At 35.3% G+C, this 22,501-nt stretch overlaps 1 protein-coding gene and 3 pseudogenes across 1 annotated transcript; 1 reads left to right on the top strand and 3 right to left on the bottom strand.

Annotated features, from left to right (window-relative positions):
• OR4A46P (olfactory receptor family 4 subfamily A member 46 pseudogene) lies at positions 8,577-9,517 on the bottom strand (annotated as a pseudogene).
• OR4A48P (olfactory receptor family 4 subfamily A member 48 pseudogene) lies at positions 13,341-14,114 on the bottom strand (annotated as a pseudogene).
• Positions 16,114-17,043, bottom strand: OR4A47 (olfactory receptor family 4 subfamily A member 47). Its single transcript, NM_001005512.2, has one exon. The coding sequence runs from the start codon at positions 17,041-17,043 to the stop codon at positions 16,114-16,116; it is 930 nt and encodes a 309-aa protein (NP_001005512.2).
• OR4R1P (olfactory receptor family 4 subfamily R member 1 pseudogene) lies at positions 18,804-19,649 on the top strand (annotated as a pseudogene).

The raw sequence follows: 22,501 nt of genomic DNA, 5'->3' as shown, positions 1-22,501 counted from the left end.
CCTTTTGTGCTATCAAGTAGTAAGTCTTATACACTCTTTCTGATTATTTTTGTACCCATTAACTATCCTTATCTCCCACCCTCTCACCTCCCCGCTACCCTTCCTAGCTTCTGGTAACCATCCTTCTATTCTCCACATCCATAAGTTCAATTGTTTTGAATTTTAGATCCCACAAATAAGTTAGATATCATGATGTTTGTCTTTCTTTGCCTGGATTGCTTCACATAATCTAATGACCTCTGGTCTTATCCATGTTGTTGCAAATGAGTGAATCTCATTCTTTTTAATGGCTGAATAGTACTCCATTATATATAAGTACCACATTTTCTTTATCTATTTATCTGTCAATGGACACATAAGTTGCTTCCAAATTTTGGCTATTGCGAATAGTGCTGAAAAAAACATGCGAAGGCCAATATCTCTTTGATATACTAATTTCCTTTCTTTTAGGTATACATTGAGCAAAGGGATTACTGGATCATATAGTTGCTCAATTTTTAGTTTTCTGAAAAATCTTCAAACTGTTTTCTATAGTAGGTGTACTAATGTACATTCCCATCAACAGTGTATTAGGATTCCCTAATATTTTGCTCATTTTTTCATTGGCTTATTAGATTTTTTTTTGAGATGGAGTTTCACTCCTGTTGCCTAGGCTGAAGTGCAATGGCATGATCTCAATCCACCACAACCTCCGCCTCCTGGGTTCAAGTGATTCTCCTGTCTCAGCCTCCCAAGTAGCAGGGATTACAGACATGCTCCACCACCCCTGGATAATTTTTATATTTTTAGTAGAGATGGGTTTTCACTATATTGGCCAAGCTGGTCTTGAACTCCTGGCCTCAGGTGATCCTCCCACCTTGGCCTCCCAAAGTGCCAGGATTACAGGTGTGAGCCACCATGCCCAGCCAGATGTTTTCCTATAGAGTTGTTTGAGCTCCTTCTACATTGTCATTATTAATTCTTTGTCAGATGGGCAGTTTGCAAATATCTTCACCCATTCTATGAGTTGTCTCTTCACTTTGTTGGTTGTATCCTTTGCTGTGTGGAAGCTTTTTAACTTGATGTGATCCCATTTGTCCATTTTTACTTGTGCCTTTCTGTGCTAGGGAAATATTGCTCAAGAAATCTTTGCACAGACCAATGTCCAAGAGAGTTTCCCCAATGTTATCTTGTAGTAGTTTCATATTTTCAGGTCTTAAATTTAACTATTTAATCCATTTTAATTAGATTTCTTGTATTTGGAGAAAAATAGAGATCTAGCTTCATTCTTCTACATGTGGACATCCAGTTTTCCCAGCATTATTTGTTGAAGAAACTGTCTTTTCCCCAGCATATGTTCTTGGCACCTTTGTTGAAAATGAGTTCACCGTAGGTGTGTGGATTTGTTTCTGGGTTCTCCATTCTGTTCCATTGGTCTATGTGTCTGTTTTCAGGCCAGTACTGTCCCATTTTGTTTACTATATCTCTGTAGCATAATATGAAGTCAGGTGACGTGATTCCTCCAATTTGGTTCTTTTGCTCAGGATAGCTTTGGCTAGTCTGCATCTTTAGTGATTCCATGTAAATTTTGGGATAGTTTTTTTCTATTTTTGTGAAGAACGTCACTGGTATTTTGATAGGGATTGTATTCAATCTGTAGGTTGCTTTGGGTAGTATGGACATTTTAACAAAATTGTTTCTTCCAATCCATGAACATCAAATATTTTCCCTTTTTTGTGTGTGTCTTCTTCAGTTTCCTTAATCAGTGTTTACAGTTTTCATTATAGAGATCTTCCACTTCTTTGGATAAATTAATTCCTAGGTATTTAATTTAATGTGTTGTTTTTTTAAATGGGATTATTTGTTCTTTTTCACATTGCTCACTGTTGGAATATAGACATTCTACTGACTTTTATATGTTGACTTGGTGTCCTGAAACTATGGAATTTATTATTTCTAATAGTTTTGTTGTGGTTATTCCAAATATAAGATCATATCATCAGCAAACGAAGATAATTTGACTTCTTCCTTTCCAATTTGCATTCCCTTTATATCTTTCTTTTGTCTAATTGCTCTAGCTAGGACTTCCAGTACTGTGCTGAATAACAGTGTGGACAGTGGGCATCTTCGTGTTCCAGATCTGAGAAGAAAGGTTTTCCACGTTTCACCATTCACTATGAGACTAGCTGTGGATCTCCCATATATAGCTTTTATTATGTTGAGGTATTTTCCTTCTACCCCCAGCTTTTTCAGGGCTTTATCATGAAGGGATGTTGAATTTTATCAAATACTTTTTCAGCATCAGTTGAAATGATCATATGGTTTTTACCCTTCACTCTGCTGATATGATGTATCACACTGATTGATTTACATATGTTGAAATCCCAGGGATAAATCCCACTTGGTCATGATGAATGATGAATTGTTGAATTCAGTTTGCTAGTATTTTGTTGAGGGTTTTTGCTTCAATATTCATCAGAGATATTGGCCTGTAGTTTTGTTTGTTGTTGTTGTTGTTGATATATCCTTGTCTGGTTTCAGTATCAGGGTCATAGTGGCCTCAGAATAAGTTTGAAAATATTCCTTACTCCTCTATTCTTCAGAATAGTTTGAGTAGGATTGGTATTAATTCTTTTTTAAATGTTTAGTAGAATTCAGATGTGAAGCTATCAGCTCCTGGGCTTTTCTTTACTTGGAGGCTGCTCAGGTTTTGGATTTCTTCCTCATTCAATCTTGGTAGGTTATTTGCATCTAGGAATTTGTCCATTTCTTATAGATTTTCCAATTTATTGGTATATAATTGTTCATAGTAACCACTAATGATCCTTCGAATTTATGCAGTATCAATTTTAATGTCTCCTTTTTCATTTCTGATTTTATTCATTTGGATCTTTTTCCTCAGTTACTCTGGTTAAGTTCTATCAATTTTGTTTAACTTTAAAAAAAAACCTTTTGTTTCATTGATATTTTGTATTTTTATTTATTTATTTCTGCTGTGATCCTTATCATTTCTTTTCTTCTAGTTTTTGGCTTTATTTCCTCTTGCTTTTCTACTCCTTTAAGATGCTTTGTTCACTTGTTTATTTGAAGGGGTTTTTTTGGTGTAAGCACTTATAGCTATAAACTTCCATCTGAGTAATGCTTTCTCTGTATTTGATAGATTTTGGTATACTTGTTTCCATTATTTGTTTCAAGAAATTTATCAGTTTTCTTCTTTTTTTAAGTCAGTATAATTTATTTTTATAGTAGTCTACGTTCACGAGAATGCAGTAAGATTTTGCATTGATATATTTCTGCTGAGAGGTAATTGATATAAATCTAGAAAACCATTTGAAAGTAGGAACTGTCTTTCAAATGCCCCTCCTTTTAAAAAGACAAAGGAAATACCACAAAATTAATTTCTTCATGGACCCCACTGATTATTCAGGAGCATTTTGTTTAATTTCCATGTACTAGTATGGTTTCCAAAATTTCTCATTATTAATTTCTAGTTTTATTTCATTGTTGTCAGAGAAAATAATTGATATTATTTCAAATTTTTTGAATGTTTTTGGACTTGTTTTGTAACCTAACATATGATCTATCCTTGAGAATGATTTGTGTGCTAAGGAAAAGAAAATGTTTCCTGCAGCCACTGGATGAAATGTTCTGTAAATACTTATTATATCCATTTAGTCTTTATTGCAGATTAAGTCTGAAGTTTCTTTGTTAATATTCTATCTGAAACACCTTGGATACAAAAGAAATTGATAAATTGAACTTCATCAAAATAAAAACTTTGGCTCATAAAAACTGTTAATGATATGAAAAAGCGAGCCATACATTGTGAGTATGCTTACAATACATATGTCTGAATAAGAACTTGTATCTAGAATGTATTAAGAAGTTTTACAAGTCAAGACAAGCCATATGATTTTTTTTAATGTTCAACAGACCAGCCAAGAATTATATGCTCAACATCTTTAGTCATCCAGGAAATGCACATTAAAACCAATCCAACTGTTACTGAGGATGCGGAATAACTGGAACTCTCATATGTCCCTTGTGGAAGTATATAATTTTACAGCTGTGTTGAAAAACTTTTTGATAGTTATAAAATTTAGTCTTTACCCTCCCTCCTAACAAGCATATATCTATAATACTACAACCCATGTGTCTTGGATAAAGACCTGTTAATGGCCCGAAATAAATCCCTGTATGGGCAGATATAAACACACGTGTGGTCCAGTGCAGCTCAGTGTATGGCAAGATATAGCCCCCTGTGTAGACAGACACAGAACTGGGTGATATCATATGCAAAACTTATACAAATGCAATCATAAAAGTAATCAAATACTGACCTTTGTGTTTTCACATACAAACCTGTCTGTTCATATATAGACTTTGTGTTCAGTTAGATACAGACCCAGGTATCACTGGATACACACCTATATATGGTCATAGAGACATACATGCTGCTGGATACAGATCCAAGTGCACAGTCAAATACAGACTCCTATATAATGACTTTCAAACCTGTATATGGTGAGATACAAGCCTACGTGTGTCTGAATACAGACCTATGCCCGTGGCTTTAAAGATTGTGCCAGGAAATGCCAGGAAAAGACACTGAGTCCTCTCTTGTCAGCCCATTGAAAATATTAATCAAATGAAAATAAGAGAATTCCCTTTTTAAATGAAAAAGTCAAAAGGCAAGGCATATATAGACTGTGAAGATGTTTACAACTTTTTGTAATCTTTAAGTTCAGTGGTACATGTGAAGGTTTGTTATGGGGGTGTCATGGAGGTGTGTCATTTTAGAAGTCTGACATAGGGGTTTGGTGTATGGATTATTTCCTCACCTAGGTATTAAGCCTAGTACCCATCAGTATTTCTGTGATCTTCTCACACCTCCCACCCTCCATCATGTCTGTTGTTCCTCTCTATGTGTTCGTGTGTTCTCATAATTTAGCTCCCACTTAGAAGTGAGAACATGTGGTGTTTGGTTTTCCATTCCTGTGCTAGTTTGCTAAGGATAATGGCCTCTGGCTCCATCCATGTTTCTGCAAAGGACATGGTCTTATTCTTTTTTATGGCTGAATAGTATTCCATGCTGTGTATGTACCACATTTTCTTTATCCAATCTACCAATGATGGGTCGTTATGTTGGTTTCGTGTCTTTGCAATTAATAGTGCTGCAATGGGCATGTGCATGCATGTGCCTTTACGTTAGAATGATTTATATTCTTTTGGGTATATAACCAGTAATGGGGTTGCTGGGTCAAATAGTAGCTCCATTTTTAGGTCTTTGAGGAATCGTCACATGGTTTTCCACAATGGTTGAACTAATTTACACCCCAATCAACACTGTGTAAACATTCCTTTTTCTCTGCAACCTCGCCAGCACCTGTAATTTTTTTACTTTTTAATAATAGCCATTCTGACTGGTGTGAGATGGTATCTCACTGTGGTTTTGATTTGCATTTCTCTAATGATCACTAATATTGACCTTTTTTCATATGCTTGTTGACAGCATGTATGTCTTGTTTTGAAAAGTGTCTGTGCATGTCTTTTGCCCACTTTTTGATTGAGATTTATCAGTCAAGACTTCACAATAAGTGTCTTATTCTAGGTAGGAAAATGAGACATTATAATACACCATTTTGCTCAAAATAAACAAGTAGGGTCATGAAACCCTAAATATAATTTTATGAAAAGTATTCAAGCTTTACAAAACAGTCCTAAGTTTTGTTAGGAAAAATAAATATTTAGAAATTGCAAGAGAGCTGAAAAAGATTAGTAATTAGGGGAGACTATTTCTATTAAGTATAAATAAATATTTAAAATCCTTGACCACTGGGATAGTGTGTTGGTGAAAAAAAAAACAAAAAAACAAGAAAAGAAGAAACAGAAGAAGTGTCCTGAGATTGAACCTTCTAGATGTAAAGAATTTGACATACTAAAAGGATAAATTCCAAATTACTATTGAAAATAATTAATGGATTAGATTGGCAGATTATTTTACCTGCTTAGGAAAACTAGACTTCAATATTTTCTTATGATAAAGAAAAATAAATTTTCAGTTGGCTGGAAAACAAATGTTTTTGTAAAGTAATTTTTTTAATGGGGACGACTGGAGGCAGGAAAGAGGGAGGTGGGCAAGGGCTCAAAAACTACCTGCTGGGTACCATGCTCACTACCTGGGCGTGGGTGCAATCATACTTCAAACCTCAGCATCATGCAACATACCTTTGTAACAAACCTGCACATGTGCCTCCTGATTCTAAAACAAAATCTGAAAAGAAAAATAAATAAATAAGGTGTTAAAATGCATAAAGTCACTAGAGGGAAATGGAATTTACTGAGGTGTGATATGACAGAAAAAATAAGAAGTAAAAAAGTTAAGATAAAACATTTCTATATAAAAACATCCATAATTGTAGCATCAACAACATAGTAAGTTAAATATTTATAGCAAATATCAAAGAATGGTATGAACATATATGCAACTTTGATATGGAAAAAGTTTATCAGAATGTATCAGTAAAATTTCTGACTCCAATAGATTAAGAATAAAAGGAAACAAGTAATTAACAAAGTTTATGGAGTGGGCTCTATGTGTCAGACATTGTGCAAGGAACAGAGAGCACAAAGAGAAGTAACTTTCCCTGACTTCAGGGAACTTTCAGACCAATAAATGTAAACAGACAATTAACCAAGATTTTTTTATTTCATCACTCAGTAGAACCATACAAATTAGAAAATTAATTACATGTCCAAAAATGCAGGACCTAGTTATATAAACTCTGGTACTACCAAATGCTCAATACTATTTGGAGAATGGTGCTATGTTTTGGAAGAGCTTGGATGATATAAGAAATCTCCAAGTAATAATAATAAGGATAAAAATAATAATACAAAGTGAACTCATATAGTGTGATTTATCAGGGAAATTGACTTATGTTTTTCCCTAGCCTTAGTCCCTCATGAATCCAGACTACAGAGGAGAAGCAGGAACAATGAGTTTTTTTGATTACATGTTTTCTACCTGTAGTCAGGGGCAGATAAAATTTTATTTCAAGCCTGATTCAAAAGAAATTTTCACACAGATTTTTATGAATGAAGTGTCTTTCCAACGAAACAATATGTTTTAGTCCTGTTTTTTACCTAATAATCTGCATTCTATCAATAAAGAAAGTAAGAATGGAAGCATCACATATTGCCAGCATCTTTCTTTTCTTTTTCTTTCTTTTCTTTTCTCAGTGTTGCTCTGTCACCCATGTTAGAGCGCAGTAGCATGATCACAGTTCACTGCAGTCTTGACCTCCTGGGCTCAAAAAATCCTCCAACCTCAGCCTCCTGAGCAGCTGGAACCATAGACATGCACCACCACACCTGTCTATCTTCCTTGACAATGGTGTATTCCAAAATATTTACTATCAGGCTCTGCATTGCATATTTGAACTTCATAGATTATGGATTATGCTAATTTTACATATGAAAAGCAGAGCCTGGCTGTTTTTTAGAAGGCCATGAGAAGGGGGTATTGAAAATAGCAGAGGTATTATCAGATATTCTAAACATCTGGGAAGATCAATGGATCATTTTTTTTAATTTTTTTATTATTATTATACTTTAAGTTTTAGGGTACATGTGCACAATGTGCAGGTTAGTTACATATGTATACATGTGACATGCTGGTGCGCTGCACACACTAACTCATCATCTAGCATTAGGTATATCTCCCAGTGCTATCCCTCCCCCCTTCCCCCACCCCACAACAGTCCCCAGAGTGTGATGTTCCCCTTCCTGTGTCCATGTGTTCTCATTGTTCAACTCCCACCTATGAGTGAGAATATGCGGTGTTTGGATTTTTGTTCTTGCGATAGTTTACTGAGAATGATGATTTCCAATTTCATCCATGTCCCTGGATCATTTTTACATAAATACAGCACCAAATCAAGCTGCTTCGCCTGAGGACTTAATATGATTTCTCAATTGGAGAAATAAGTAAGATTTAGTTATTTTTCTGCATGTCTCCCTTTTTCATTCAGATTCTTTTAGTATACTCAGTCTCCTTATGAATAATACTGAAGGAAGCATTATTCCTCTTCAACCTTAATACACTAGCAATACTAACAAAATGATATATAAATAGTATCTTACAAATACAAAAATAAAATATATACTTCAAATACTAATGTGGTCTGTATTTGTGTGAGGAGGAGTAAATGAAATTTTTATGTCTTATTTCTTAATTCATTCTTCTGAAATCTGTAATGAGCACTATTAATTCTGAAAAAGGATTAACTTTATTTAAAAGAAAAACATGAGAAAAACTTTCATAAACTTAAATAAATTTATAGTATTAATAACATAAATTTATCATCTCGAGAGCCATTCTACAGACAAAAAGTGAACATATATTTTTCCAATAAATTATTAAAATCTTCTAAATATATTTTGATTATTGCAAGTATTCATGTAATAAATGATTTTCCCTGCATGCTAGTTATTAAACCTGAGGAAAATTTCATGGCAATTAAATAATCACAAATGGCTTTCCTGGAGGGAGCAACTCTTCACTGAAAATAGATGATACATTTGTCTGTCACCTCATTTTCTTTTTCTGGTCCAGAGCTTCTTCATAGCATTTTTCATCTCTGCATTTCTTAAAGTATAGATTAGAGGGTTCAACATAGGGGTGATAACAGTGTAAAACACAGTCAAGGATTTATCAATGGGTAAGGTCGAAGGAGGTCTCACATACATCAAAATACAAGGGACAAAGAAGAGGATCACCCCAGTGATGTGGGAGCCACAGGTGGATAAGGCTTTGGGCCTCCCTTCCTCACTAAGATTCTTCAGGGAGTGCAGAATGACCCTATAGGAGATGAGTAAGAGCATAAAGATGACCACACAGATTGCCCCATCATTGGCAACCACAGTGAGGCCAATAACGTAGGTGTCAGTGCAGGCAAGTTTTAATAAAGGGTACATGTCACAGATGAAATGCTCAATGACATTGGGGCCACAGAAGGGAAAGTTGTAAACAAAAAGAAGTTGAACTACAGCATGCAGGAAACCTCCAGCCCAGGCCAACAGCAGCAGTAGAATGCACACCCGTTGGTTCATGATGGTCAAATAATGCAGGGGTTTGCAGATGGCCACGTAGCCTTCATAGGCCATGACAACCAGGAGTAAAATCTCAGCACCCCCAAATGGGTGTCCTATAAAAAGCTGGGTCATGCAAGCTTGGAACGAAATGGTTTTCTTCTCATAGAGTAAGTATATAATCATATTTGGGGTAACTGTAGTAGAATGAACAGCATCCATAAATGATAAGTAGACAAGGAAGAAGTACATGGGGCATCCAAAGTTGGGCTGACCACCACAGTCACAACAATGAATATGTTGCCTACCATTGTCACAATGTAGATGAGCAAGAACACAACAAATAATATTTTCTGTCCCTGGGGGCTCTGAGTGAGCCCCACAAGGACAAACTCAGTCACATTGTTCCTTTGCTCCGTACGTCTTTCTGTATGTCCTTATTCCAGTGTTCAGGACAAAATTACCTAAAAATATAATTATTACTAGTAACTTCATGAAATTTTAGGATAATTTGTTTATTCATTCAACAAACAGGTAAAACATGGTCCCCAACCTCAGCAATCTTACAAATTAATGGAGAGAGAAATAAGTAATTTGGGATGTATATGGGAAAAGGACAGTTTATTAAATAAAAGAGTTTGCCAAAACTAGTTTTACATCTGGAAGATCATAAAATTATACATATAGCTAATACCATAAACAAAAATAAATACAAATGAATTAAAGATTTAATATAAAACTAAAGCTAGATTTACTTTATATTTACTTTCCAGTTAATAAAGGAGATGACTTTCTACATTCTCTGGATGGGAGAATCTTAATAATTGAAATCCAAAATAAACATATTTGACAATTTCAAAATTGTTTAAGAATTTGGGAAAAGATACCATTTAAAAATATTTATAATTTTGAGGACACAGAGTTAATATTTAAAATAGAGTGCTCTAAGCAATTAATAATAAGAGACAAACCAATAGCAAACTGGGCAAATGATAGAAACCAGCAATTTAAAAAAAACAGTACATTAAAGTGGCCAAATATAATAGGGTGCTGAAGTTCACCTATAAATAGAAAAATACAAAATAAAAAACAAATATCATCTTATATTCATGAAACTGACAAAAACATTTTAAAAGTGATAGTAGCTATAGCTAGCAAAAATAAAAAAGGGTATTTTCTTACACTGATAGGGAAAATATGGATTTTATAATATTTTTGGAACAAAAGTTAGCAATCTCTAATGAAAGTAAAAATATCTTTCAACACAACTGCTCCCTTCAAAAGCTATCCCATAGAAATTAGAGCCCTAGAACATAAGGACAGATGCATGGCAGGTTTTTGTGACATTATTTATAATAGCACTAAACAAACAAAAAATGTGGAATACAGATATTTAAAACAATTAATTGCAGCCATTTCAGTATAATAGTATGATTCAGCAAACAAAATAAAAATACTGTACATGTATCCATTTATAAGTGTTTGTGTATGATTATATGAGCATGGGAAAATAATGAAGGATATACGTTTTTTGTTGTAAGCAGGGTTTACATTTGCATTGGTGATGTGGGGGAGAGGAGAGAAGTTGTGTGTGAAAGAATAAAACTAACGAAGAGGAGAAGAAGGAAGGAAGGAAGATGGAGGAAGATGGAATAAAAGAGGGAGGGAAAGAAATAGGGGAGAAGGGAGGCACGGAGGGAGGGAAGAGAAAGTTAGAGAAAAAGAAGGCTTCACACACACACAAAAAAAAACTATATCATAAGTAGTGACAATATTCACTAGCCCAGCTATCTCCTAAAATAATCCTAGTAATGACAACTAGTCACTAAGTCTCTGTTGACATTACTTCAATCTAACCTCATAAATGATGTCCCATCTGCTCTTCAAATACACAGATTGTCTGTGTTGCTAACTATGGCCAACCTCTCTAGAGTTGCACTAGATTGCGTGCTCTTTACCACTCTTAAGAACAGTGTTCCTTCAATTTTCTCCATTTCGAACATCAACAATTTTCCTCCCTATATTGCATCCTTCTTCCAGCATATTTGTATGATCTATCCCCACGTTTAAAAATATATTTATACCCTTGGACCGCAGATTTCTTTCAAGCAACCACCCCATCTTGATTCTCTGCTATTCTTTCTAAATAACACTTTCACTTTACTAAATCCAGTGGTCAATTTCAATACTCTTCTTACTTGACCTATCATTCCTATGAATTGAGGAAACACCTTGCTTACTTAAGTCTTACCTTGGGTTCTTGAAAGTCACTCATTCCACTTCTACAGATGCTACATCATCTAATTTTTAGCATATTAATCAATGCATAGAGAACGCACTGCTTGATCCTATAAAGAGATTTACAAATACCTGCCCATTAAAATATCCCCCAAATGGTTACATTTGAAATTAGTTTCTAAGAACACTGATGTAGAGAAAGTAAATTTATTCTGTTATTTAATGATAAAATATCCAAAAAAGTATTACAGAATTGAGGCAATTCACATATAGTTTAGCAATCATGAAGAACCACTAATGTGGCTTATTATCAGAATCACTTACACAACTATTAAAAGACAGAATTCCCACATCATCAGTGTTACTGCATAATGTAAAGCCTAGTTCAGAATCTCACACATAAATACCTTCCTGGGTATCTGCATAAGAAGACAGTAATTCATTCCGAGTTCTGATGATGGTACCTTCCCTCTTGTCCTAAAAAAAAAAACAGCTGTGTACACTGACACCATCTGTGTGAACACAGAGAGCAAAATAACACATGAATCATCACTGGACCTTGAAATGCTTCCATGTGATCAACGTTTTCCATGCTTGTAGAAAGTCTGATTTATCTCAGTCTTTCAGGGGGAAAAAAGGTTACCTTTTAACTTACTGAGATTTTCAAAATGAATATCAAGAATGTTCTGTAACCTAAAGAAGCCTCAATCTTGATTGTGAACTGAGACCCAAAATATTCACTGTTGGCAAAATTTGTCCTAATAACAAACACATGTTATATAAATACTTTTTTATTTTTTATTTTAATGGATACACTATAATTGTATATGTTTATGGGGTATAAATGATATTTTGACAAAAGCACACAACATGTAATGATCATATCTGGGTAATTTGGATATCCATCACCTCAAACATTTATCATTTCTTTATGTTGAGAAAATTCTAAATTTTCTCTTCTAACTGTTTTGAAATACAGTCAACTATAAACTATAGTTGCCCTATCATGATCTTATTCTTCCTACCTAACTGTATTTCTGTATATATTAATCAACTCCTCTTCATCCCCTCTCCTCACTACCCTTCCCATCCTCCGATTACCACCATTCTATTCACTACCATCATGAGGTCAATTTTTTATCTCCCACATGAGTGAACACCTGCAATATTTGCCTTTCTGTGCCTGCCTCATTTTATTTAATATAATATCCTCCAGTTCCATCCACATTGCTGCAAATGGCAGAATTTTATCCTTTTTATTACGTTATCTCACCCCAGTTAAAATGGCTATTATGAAAATAACAGAAAATAAATGCTGATGAGGATGCAGAGAAAGGGGAATGATCATAATATGTTGGTAGGAATGTAAATTAATACAGCCACTATGGAAAACAGTATGGAGGTTCCTCAGAAAATTAAAAATAGAACTAGCATATATCTAGCAATCCCACTGGTAGTTATATATCCAAAAGAAATGAAATCGGTATATCAAAGAGATACCTACATTCCCATAATTTGTGGAGCACTATTCACAATAGCCAAGATACGGAATCAACCCAAGTGTTCATCAAAAGATGAATAGGTTAAATAAGCATTTTGAAGTTAAGAAAAAACTCGAATTTGTGGGAGAGAGAATTGTGACTTTTTACTATAAATATTTGTATTTTATACAAATAAAAGTAAAATAATGAAATAGCCTTTACAACATATTGCTCTTCGATCAGTTATATGAACCTGTATTCATGCCACGTAGTTGAACCTTGGGTAATAGGAAGGATGGAGAATAATTTTCATCCTTATTTTATCATGTTTGAGTCTATCATTTTAATTCCTAAAAAATCAGTCATGTGAATACTGCTATAGACAAATACTCTTCGAAATAAGGGCAGAAGTCTGTGGATACTTTATCCACATTTGAACTACAGCACATATTGTTGAGTCATTCAACTGGTGCATCTCCAAAGGTGATTCTTCTCTAATTAAATTCATTGGGACCTTCATCATAATTCTGAGGGTAGGCTCTGTATCTCCAGAGACGCCACAGGGATAATAACTATGTATAACAAGATTTATAGAACCATGTCCTCTAGGGAAAAAATTACAAAAGAATAACAAAGTCAAATCACCAAAAGGAAACAGTCCAGTCTGAATGTAAATGAAATATATAAAACCTAGTATTTAAATCATGACCTGCAAAATAGGCAAATCTGTTGAGTGTATAGTCACAGACAAGCTTCATTAAGGGGTCCATGTTACAGACAAAATGACCAATGACATTGGGGTCATAAGATGGGAGCCCATGAATAAGGTCAAGTTGTATTACTGTGTGCAAAAATCCTCCAGCCCAGAGCACAACCAGCAGCACAACACACAGCCATTGCTTCATGACAACCAAATACTGCAAGGACTTTCAGATGGCCCTATAAGTGGTCTAGGCCATCACCAACAGAAGGAACACCTGAGATCCACCAAGAAAAAAGTGTGCTGTGAAGAGCTGGGTACTGGGTCATACAACATTTGAGAGAGAAATGCATGTTTGAGTACGGAGTGGTTGTGCATAGTCTTATAGTCCATGAAAAGGCCAATTAGCTTTAGTGTAAATTTCGTTAATCATATACCTTACTTTATACCAGTCAATTTATCTCAGCATTTCTAAGTGACTGCAAGACCTTTTATGTGGGAAAAAAATGGTAAAAATTAAAATAAAAGGAGAACATGCAGAGACAAAGTGGAGATCAATGCTGTTGAATACATCAGAAAGTTCACCAACTGCCAGGAGGCACGCACAAGGTGTTTTGAAAAAAGATGATGGCCTAAATATGTATGTTTAATTTTGTATCATCCTTATTTTAATTAGAGCTGAATTAATTATAGTAGGTTAAGTTTGCTAAAATATGTTTGTGTGTGTGTGTATGTATCATGTTTATTTTATTTTTAATAAAATGTGTAGTTTTCAATCAAGGAGAGATGTTATTGATACTCATCCAGGTCAGATAAAATTCCCCTTTCCACAAACAGAAACTCCTCTCCAGTGAGTTTACTTATTCATGTCCTTTCAGTTTATTGTCTCTTGTCCCTGGAAGTGGTTATGTAAACAGTTAATACGTGCTCTTGGGTCTCCTTTGAACACTCCTAACCCCCTACCTTTTGAGTAGCTCTCTATCACATCATTTGTTTCATGTTTTACACCTTTCCACTCTGTTATATTTTATCTTTTTATGTATATGCTTACTTGTTTATTGTCTCTCTCCCCCTATAACAGAAAATATTTCTTGGGATGGGCATAATGGCTCACACCCGTAATCCCAGTCCCTCCTGCAGGAACACTGAATTTCAACAACTAATTGCACACACACAAAAGCACAAGCATAACAACAGAAAACCAGGTGAGCAATCCAAGTACCTGGTTTTAACTTCACATCACTGAATGAAACACACTTAAGAGGTTAGGAAAGACTGTCTTAAATCGCTCCTCGATTCCACAGCAGTGGCTGCATGGTGCAAAGAGATAATCTGTGCACTTGAGGAAAAAAGAGTATAGACACGGGGTTTGGCATTGAACTCAGTGCTACCTTGTCACAGCAGAGAGCAAAGCCATGCTGAGCTCAACTGGCACCCACCCATGGAGACTGCATTTGGACCAGCTCTAGACAGAGGGGAATCACTCATCCCAGAAGTCAAAACTAGAATTTCTTGGCAAGTCTCACCACTGTGGGCTAAAGTGCTCTGGGGTCTTAGGTAAACTTCAAAGGCAGCCTAGGACACAAGGCCTGCAATTCCTAGGCAAGTCCTAGTGCTGGGTTGGACTTAGAGCCAGTGCAATAGGGGAGCACATGACCTACGGAGACACCAGCCAGGGCTGCCAAGGGAGTGCTTCTGCCACCCCTCCCCTGACCCCAGGCAGTGCAGCTTGCAGCAACAAAAGTGACTCCTTCCTTCTGCTTGAGGAGAGGAGAGTGAATTGTGAAGAGTAAAGAGGGCTTTGTCTTGCATCCTGGATGCAACTAACTGACCACAGTAGGATAGGGGACTGGGAAGAGTTATGAGGCCCACATCCTAGGCCCTAGCTCCCTTCTATGTGAAGTAGCAAGCTTCTGTACATAGAGAAAATCACACACATATATTTAAATATATTTACATTTAAAGATTATTACCTGAAACATCTTAAGAAATGGATAATAGTGACTTTCTCTGTTGAAGAGAACTAGGAGACTGCACTCAGACATGGACAAGAGATTTATTTCTCATTTTATATTATTTTGTACAGTTTCCATTTTTACTATTTATGATTATCCATTTGGCTTTCAATTCTTCTTTTAAAAGGTAGAAATATTACATTAAAAATCTGTATACAGTACAAGTTCAATTGGATGAAAAGGACTGCATTGATATAAAATATACCATTAACTATTTTAAATAGTATAAGAAGAACAATGAACTTAAGGACAAGAATCTAACTAAAAATGAAATTAAGTCTCAGAAAGAAAGGCAAAAACATACAGGCATAACTTGATTAAAAATCAATGTAACTCTAAAATTTCTTAACTAATTCACTACATATTATTGCCTCCTTGCTTTATGCATTACACCTTTACAGATAAAATGGAAAACAAGACATTATAGATCTTACATTCTAGCAGAGAGATCAACTGTTATTAATAACACAATCATACTGTTCATTCTTTAATAATAATTGTAAATTCTTTGAAGAAAGGGAAGATGGCATCAGATTTAAAAAAACTCCTGGGTCCCAAGGAGAAAGGCTGTAAAGTCAAATGACTCTCTTCCTGGTGGGTAACTCACTTATGTACTACTTGATATGAGGTCTCTTCTCCAGAGCTTCTTCATAGCACTTGTCATCTCAGAATTTCTCAGAGTGTAGATTAAGGGGTTCAGCATTGGGGTTATGACTGTATAAAACACACTCACTGATTTGTCAATGGGGAAGGTCCTAGCAGGTCTAGCATACATAAAAATACAAGGAACAAAGAAGAAGACAACCACAGTCATGTGGGAACTGCAGGTTGAGAGGGCTTTTTGCCTCCCTTTCTGACTAAGGTTCTTTAAAGAGTGCAAGATGACACCATAAGAGATGAGTAAGAGCAGAAACACAATAGTGCAAGCCAGTCCTCCATTGGCCACCACTAAGAGGCCAATAGCATGGGTGTCAGTGCAGACCAGTTTCAATAAGGGATACATGTCACAGAAAAAATGATCAATGACATTGGGGCCACAGAATGGGAGCCCATAAATAATGCTAAGTTGAAATACTGAGTGCAGAAATCCTCCAACCCAGGACACTACCAGCAGCACAACACACACCCATTGTCTCATGATAACCAAATAATGCAAGGGCTTACAGATGGCCACATAGCAGTCATAGGCCATCACCAACAGGAGAAAGACCTCTGACCCACCGAAAATGTGCTCGATAAAGAGCTGGGCCATGCAAGATTGGAAGGATATGGAATTATTCCCAAAGAACAAGCCTGAAATCAATCTGGGGGAAATGGATGAAGAATAAATGATATCTATAAATGATAAGCCAGCAAGAAAGAAGTACATTGGTGAGCCCAGGGTCTCACTGACAGTTACGGTCACTACAATGAGCAGGTTGCCCACCATGGTCAAAATGTAGAAGAGCAAGAACATAACAAAAAGTACTTTCTGCTCCTTTGGATTCTGTGTGAAGCCCAAGAGGACAAAGTCAGTCACATTTTTCCTTGGCTCCATGTATTCTTTACAGCTGCTTACTTCAGATCATATAAGCAGTTTACCTATAAAACAAGGGGGGAAATCTTTAAATGCATTATGATTTTAATATTGTATTTACTCATTCAATTAAAAATGTGTATGCAGCATCTATGTCAAATCTGTCATAGACTTTGGAATTGCCAAGTTGAAAAAGACACAATTTTGTACTCTCAGTGATTTGGTAAATAAAATACCAAAGGGAATAAATTAAATACCAATTAAATAGGTGTCATAATAAATATATTGACATTATTGTAAGGGTTCACAGTGCTAAAACACTAAATCAAACTAGGATCAGGAAAGACTTTTCAGAGAAAGCAATGTCTTAGCTGAGATATAAAGGAAAGGTGATAATTAACTACAAGAGAGGATGGGAAGGGAATTCCACATAAAGATGCATCCTGTATAAATTCACAGATGTATAATACTCGAGAAACCACTTAAGGTAACTTACATTTTCAAACTGGGAAGAGCTAATTATGAATGGATCTTTGTATGTGACTACCAACTGACATGTTCAATTGATACCAATTTTTAATTTTCCCGATCAACCCATTTCTTCCTTATTTTCATTTCATTAAATGTTGCTACCTACCACGTTATTGTTTAAACTAAAAATTTTACAATCTATTTCACTTCTCTATTTCTTTCATATTATTTATCAGTATATTTTTTTCAAACCCTGTTAACTCTTCCTTCAAAATATCCCAATTGGATCCTTCTCACTACCATCTTGTTACCCCCTGGCCTACTCTAATAGCCCCCTGCAAAGTCTCTCCACTCATCTTCTGGCCTCTAATAATGTTCCTTCATGAAGTAGCCCAAATGATCTTTCGAAAATCTTATTAATATCATACCACTCCTCTACTCAAAAACCCCATGGTGGATTTCTATTCTGCACTCAATAAAATGCAATCTTTCTACCTTGGCCTACAAGACCCTAGATGACCTGGATCCAGGCTACCTCCCCAAATCCATCCCTTACAATTGTCCACATTTATCCTGCTCCAGACAGTTTTGATATTCACCAAATATACAATGTGCTTTTCCATATCCTTAATTTAATCTATTTTTTGTGGACACTTATTTCAGAGATTAGAAGCCACTTACTTCTAAAATAATGGTCAATATTGTGGAAATGTGTATTGTAAGTATAATCTTTTATTTATTCATTCAATTGAAAAATGTTTATATGACACCTACATTGTGTTATGCCTCTCAAATAAAGTAGACTCCCAGCCATCAGAGAATGTTCACAAACTCATTCAGGGTTAGGGTTTAGGCCAGAAGTGATTATCAGAGGAGAAATATTAGTGCTAACCAAGGAATCTTCTTTTCACCATTAGTCACCTACTTTTCCAAACAGAATTATACCTCCTGAGGTGAAAAGATACATAATAACTCTATTTTAATCTATTAATGATAAATAGTATATAAATACTGGCCAAGAACTTTCTAATTTTCTTCTCAATGATACTGAACTTTCCCTGAGGAAGTCTCCATTGAGCTAGTTGACTTATCTCTAATCAACAGCCTTATTTTAGATGCTGTGAAAACCAAAAGCCTTATTTACTGGGCTTTTACATAAACCATATGTTTAATATGCATGTAGAAAATGCTTCATTTTTCTCAAAGTGTCTATAACACTCTGGTTTTAGAAAATAATTTAGGTAGAAAGTGATAGATGATGATGAAGAAGATAGATAATAGATAGACAACTATTTTATGAGAAATATCTAAACCAGTAAATAAATTTTTCTAACACTTGCTGTAAGATATCAAATGCTAATCAGTACTCTGTGTCATATTTTGTAAATGAAATCATCATATAAGTTTATTGAGTTTTTTTGAGTACCTAATGAGTTAATAAAAAAATATGGGAGCATATGTAGTACCATGCTTGTATCAATATGGATAAAGTATCTGGAAGTCTTTGCTGAGCATCTTTTGGTGCTGCTGAGATTATTCCACTGATGGGGATGGTCCATGGCTGTTATGTGACCATCTGCACTACATGACCATCATGAATCAATATAGGTGTAGCCATCTCACTGGAATGGCATGTACTGGAAGCTTTATCCAGGCACAGTTTAGATCCTCTCCCCAGTCTGACTTCCTTTCTATGATCCCAATGTCATAGCTCATTCATGTGTGACTTAAACACTTTGTTGAAACTCCTCTGCATGGGTACTACTAATACACTTGGTTTCTTTGTTGCTGCCAATGGTGGGTTCAACTACCTATTAAACATCATTTTCTTGATGGTTTCTTAAGTGGCCATCCTATGTACTTTGAAAACTCACAGCTTGGAGGAAAGATGCTAAAGCCCTCTCTACCTGCATCTCTCACACCACCGTGGTCATCTTATCTTTGGGTTCTGTATATCTGTGTATCTGTGCCCAGTGACCCTTCCCCAATCAATAAAGCAGTGGCTGTGTTTTATACCATGATAAATCCTATGTTAAAACCTTTAGTCTAACCCTCAGAAATGCAGAGGTGAAAAGTGCTTTGAGAAAGCTCTGGGTCAAAAGATGAACTGAAGAGAGAAATAATCCAAACATAAGATGATTTTACCCTTTCAGTGGTGAAGAGAAAATAATCTAATATCTAAGACTAAGGGCCAAGTAAATATCATATGTCAGAGATGATTCTGGCATATAAGCCATTTGAGCAAAGGTCCGTATAGAAAACTATTTATCATTACAAAAATACCCTTTAGAGTTATTTATTGTCAATTTGGTTGTTAATCTTCAGTGTACTGTCAGAATTCCACAATAAAGTGGTCAGACAAAAACCAATTTAGCAAGTGTGATTATAAATAATTTACATTGTGCTATGGCTACACAGCCTTGGAACTTCTAAATCCAACTGTGCTCTGGGTAGATTTCTCAGCGGAAGTGATACTTTAATGAGTTTAAAGAAGTGAGGAAAAGGATGGAAAAGGGAATTCCATGAAAAGATGTGCCATGTATAAACTCACTGAAGTATCACACTGAAGATGCACTTAATATATATATATTCATAGTGGGTAGAATGCATTTTGTGTGCAAGGCTATAGACCAAATTTCTTTGTATTATTTACTAGGGCTGCCACCTTATAACAATGACGCTTTTCCTCCACTTTCCAATAACATGTTCCTAATTTCCATTTTTGACCTTAACTACAAGGACCTTGACATTCAGATTTCTAGAAGCATTCAGTTCATGATGAAATATGTATTCTCTAAGATAATAGATGTTTTCTCCTCAGCTCCCCTCTTTCCTTTCTGAGCCTTCACCAGAATCACTGTTCAATGTCCATATTCCTACTCACAGTAACTTGAAGGATATCCAAGCTCTTTCTATAATGCACCCTCAAACTCTGGAGGTATCTGCCCATTACCCAGTTGCAAAGCCACTTCCACATTTGAGGTATTCATTGCAGCAGTACCCCACTCCCAGAACTGAAAGCTGTATTATTTTGCTAGAACAGGTACAATAAAGTAGAACAAACTGAGTGCTTTAAACGACAGAAATTTATTGTCTCATAGTTCTAGATCTTAGAAATTCAAAATTAACATATTAACAGTGTTGGTTCCTATGGAAGACTATAAGGGAAGGAGATGTTCCAAGCCTCTGCCCTTGGCTTATAAATGACCAACTATAGGTTCCTACAGAATACTCTTTGTATACATGTCTGTATCCAAATTTTCCTATCTATTAAGGACATCAGTCATATTGGATTAGGGTCCACCTCAATCATCTTATTTTAACTTGCATACCTCTGCAAAGACTCACCTCAAATAAGGTTATGTTCTGAAGTACTAAGAGTTAGGGCCCCAAAATATGAATTTGTTGGGGGGACATAATGAAACAATAATTGTCATAACACGCAATGTATGGTCCATAACTGTCACAGTACCAGATATCTTACCGACCCACTGAAACTTTCTTCTTAGTGTCTTTACTTGAATATTGCTCGTTTTCCTAACTTGTAAATTCTGAAGCAGTCTAAAATTGTATGTCTTTACTCCATTTCTCCCCTAATTTTCAAACTCATATCTGCAGCTATCTAATTGATGCCTCCAAACAGACTTCAATTTATGATTTATAAAAGCAAACTTTTAATTTTTCATAATATATCTATTCCTACCTAGGATTTTTTTTATCAAATTAATAAAATGGTACTCCTTTTGTGTTATTGTTCAGAACAAATTTTATCAGTGTCCTTCCTTCACCCTTTATTCTATACTTAATAAGGCCTGTGAATATTCTATTCACATTGTTTATTTCTATACTTAATAAGGCCTGTTCACTTTTCCTCTCTAATACATTACAAACTTGATCATTCTCACTACACCCCATTCGTTCCTGGTCTACTGCAATAGCCAGGTCTACCTACTTTCCTTTCGGCATTTGACAATCTGTGTTCCTGAAGCAGCCCAAATGATCTTTTTTTTGTTCTTATATTATTCAGATTCTATTACTCCTTTGATCTCAACCCCTACAAGATATTCCTATTATATGCTTAATAAAATCCAATATCCCTACCTTGGCCTGTATACTCAATAAAATCCAATATCCCTATCTTGGCCTACAAGATCTTAGATGACTGGGATCTAGGAAACCTATTCAGCTAATTTCCTGCAATTCTCTATGTTTACCTGCTCAAGGTTTTTACCAGTCCTCAAATATTCAAACTGCTTTTGCATCTTTTTAGTTCTATCTATTCTTTTGCAGATGCCAATCTTAGTAATCATAAGCAGTTTACCTCTAAATTAATGCTAAATATTGTAGAAAGGTGTATTATAAGTTCAGTCTTTCATTTATTCATTCAACCACCAAGTGTTAATTGAACACATATATTGTGTCACACCAATCAAATAAGATAGGCTCCCAGGCATCACCGAGCATCTACTACTCAATTCATCTCAGGATCTATACAAGGGGTCATTTTATCAGAGGACCAAAGTCTTGATGCTGTCTGAGAAATCACGTTTTCACCATGAGTCTCCTACTTCTCTAGGTGGAGTTATAACTTTTTAGGATATATCATGGTTGCTGACTTAACTTTTCTATTTTGTAAATATACTCATGACAAGTATCATATAAAACCTAACCAGCAACTTTGCACCAGCAAAATTTTTCAACATTTCAATTCTTATAAAATCAAATGATATAATTTCCTATGTAGTAAAAAATTCACACATCTGCAAAGCTTGGTTTCACTAACACCTGTTAAAATCTTACCTTTGGGAAGCTTATCTATGATTTGAAAAACACTTTACCTCACTCAAAAGGAGCTGGAAGTCTCTCTTCAATCCAATATGCACACAGAAGACAAAAAGCTGTATCATTCCTTGATGATATATTTGAAATCATATGGCCACGTCTGTCCATTGTCTTCAGAGTTTCTAAGTATTTCAGAAAATTATGACTTGCACTGTAGAACTATTTT

This window comes from Homo sapiens, chromosome 11, assembly GCF_000001405.40.
Source record: "Homo sapiens chromosome 11, GRCh38.p14 Primary Assembly".
NCBI lineage: Eukaryota > Metazoa > Chordata > Mammalia > Primates > Hominidae > Homo > Homo sapiens.
This window is presented reverse-complemented; position numbering and strand designations above follow the sequence as displayed.

Coding starts and splice junctions, on each gene's coding strand:
- OR4A47 (NM_001005512.2), bottom strand. CDS start 17,043: ATGGAGCCAAGGAAAAATGTGACTGACTTTGTCCTCTTGGGCTTCACA.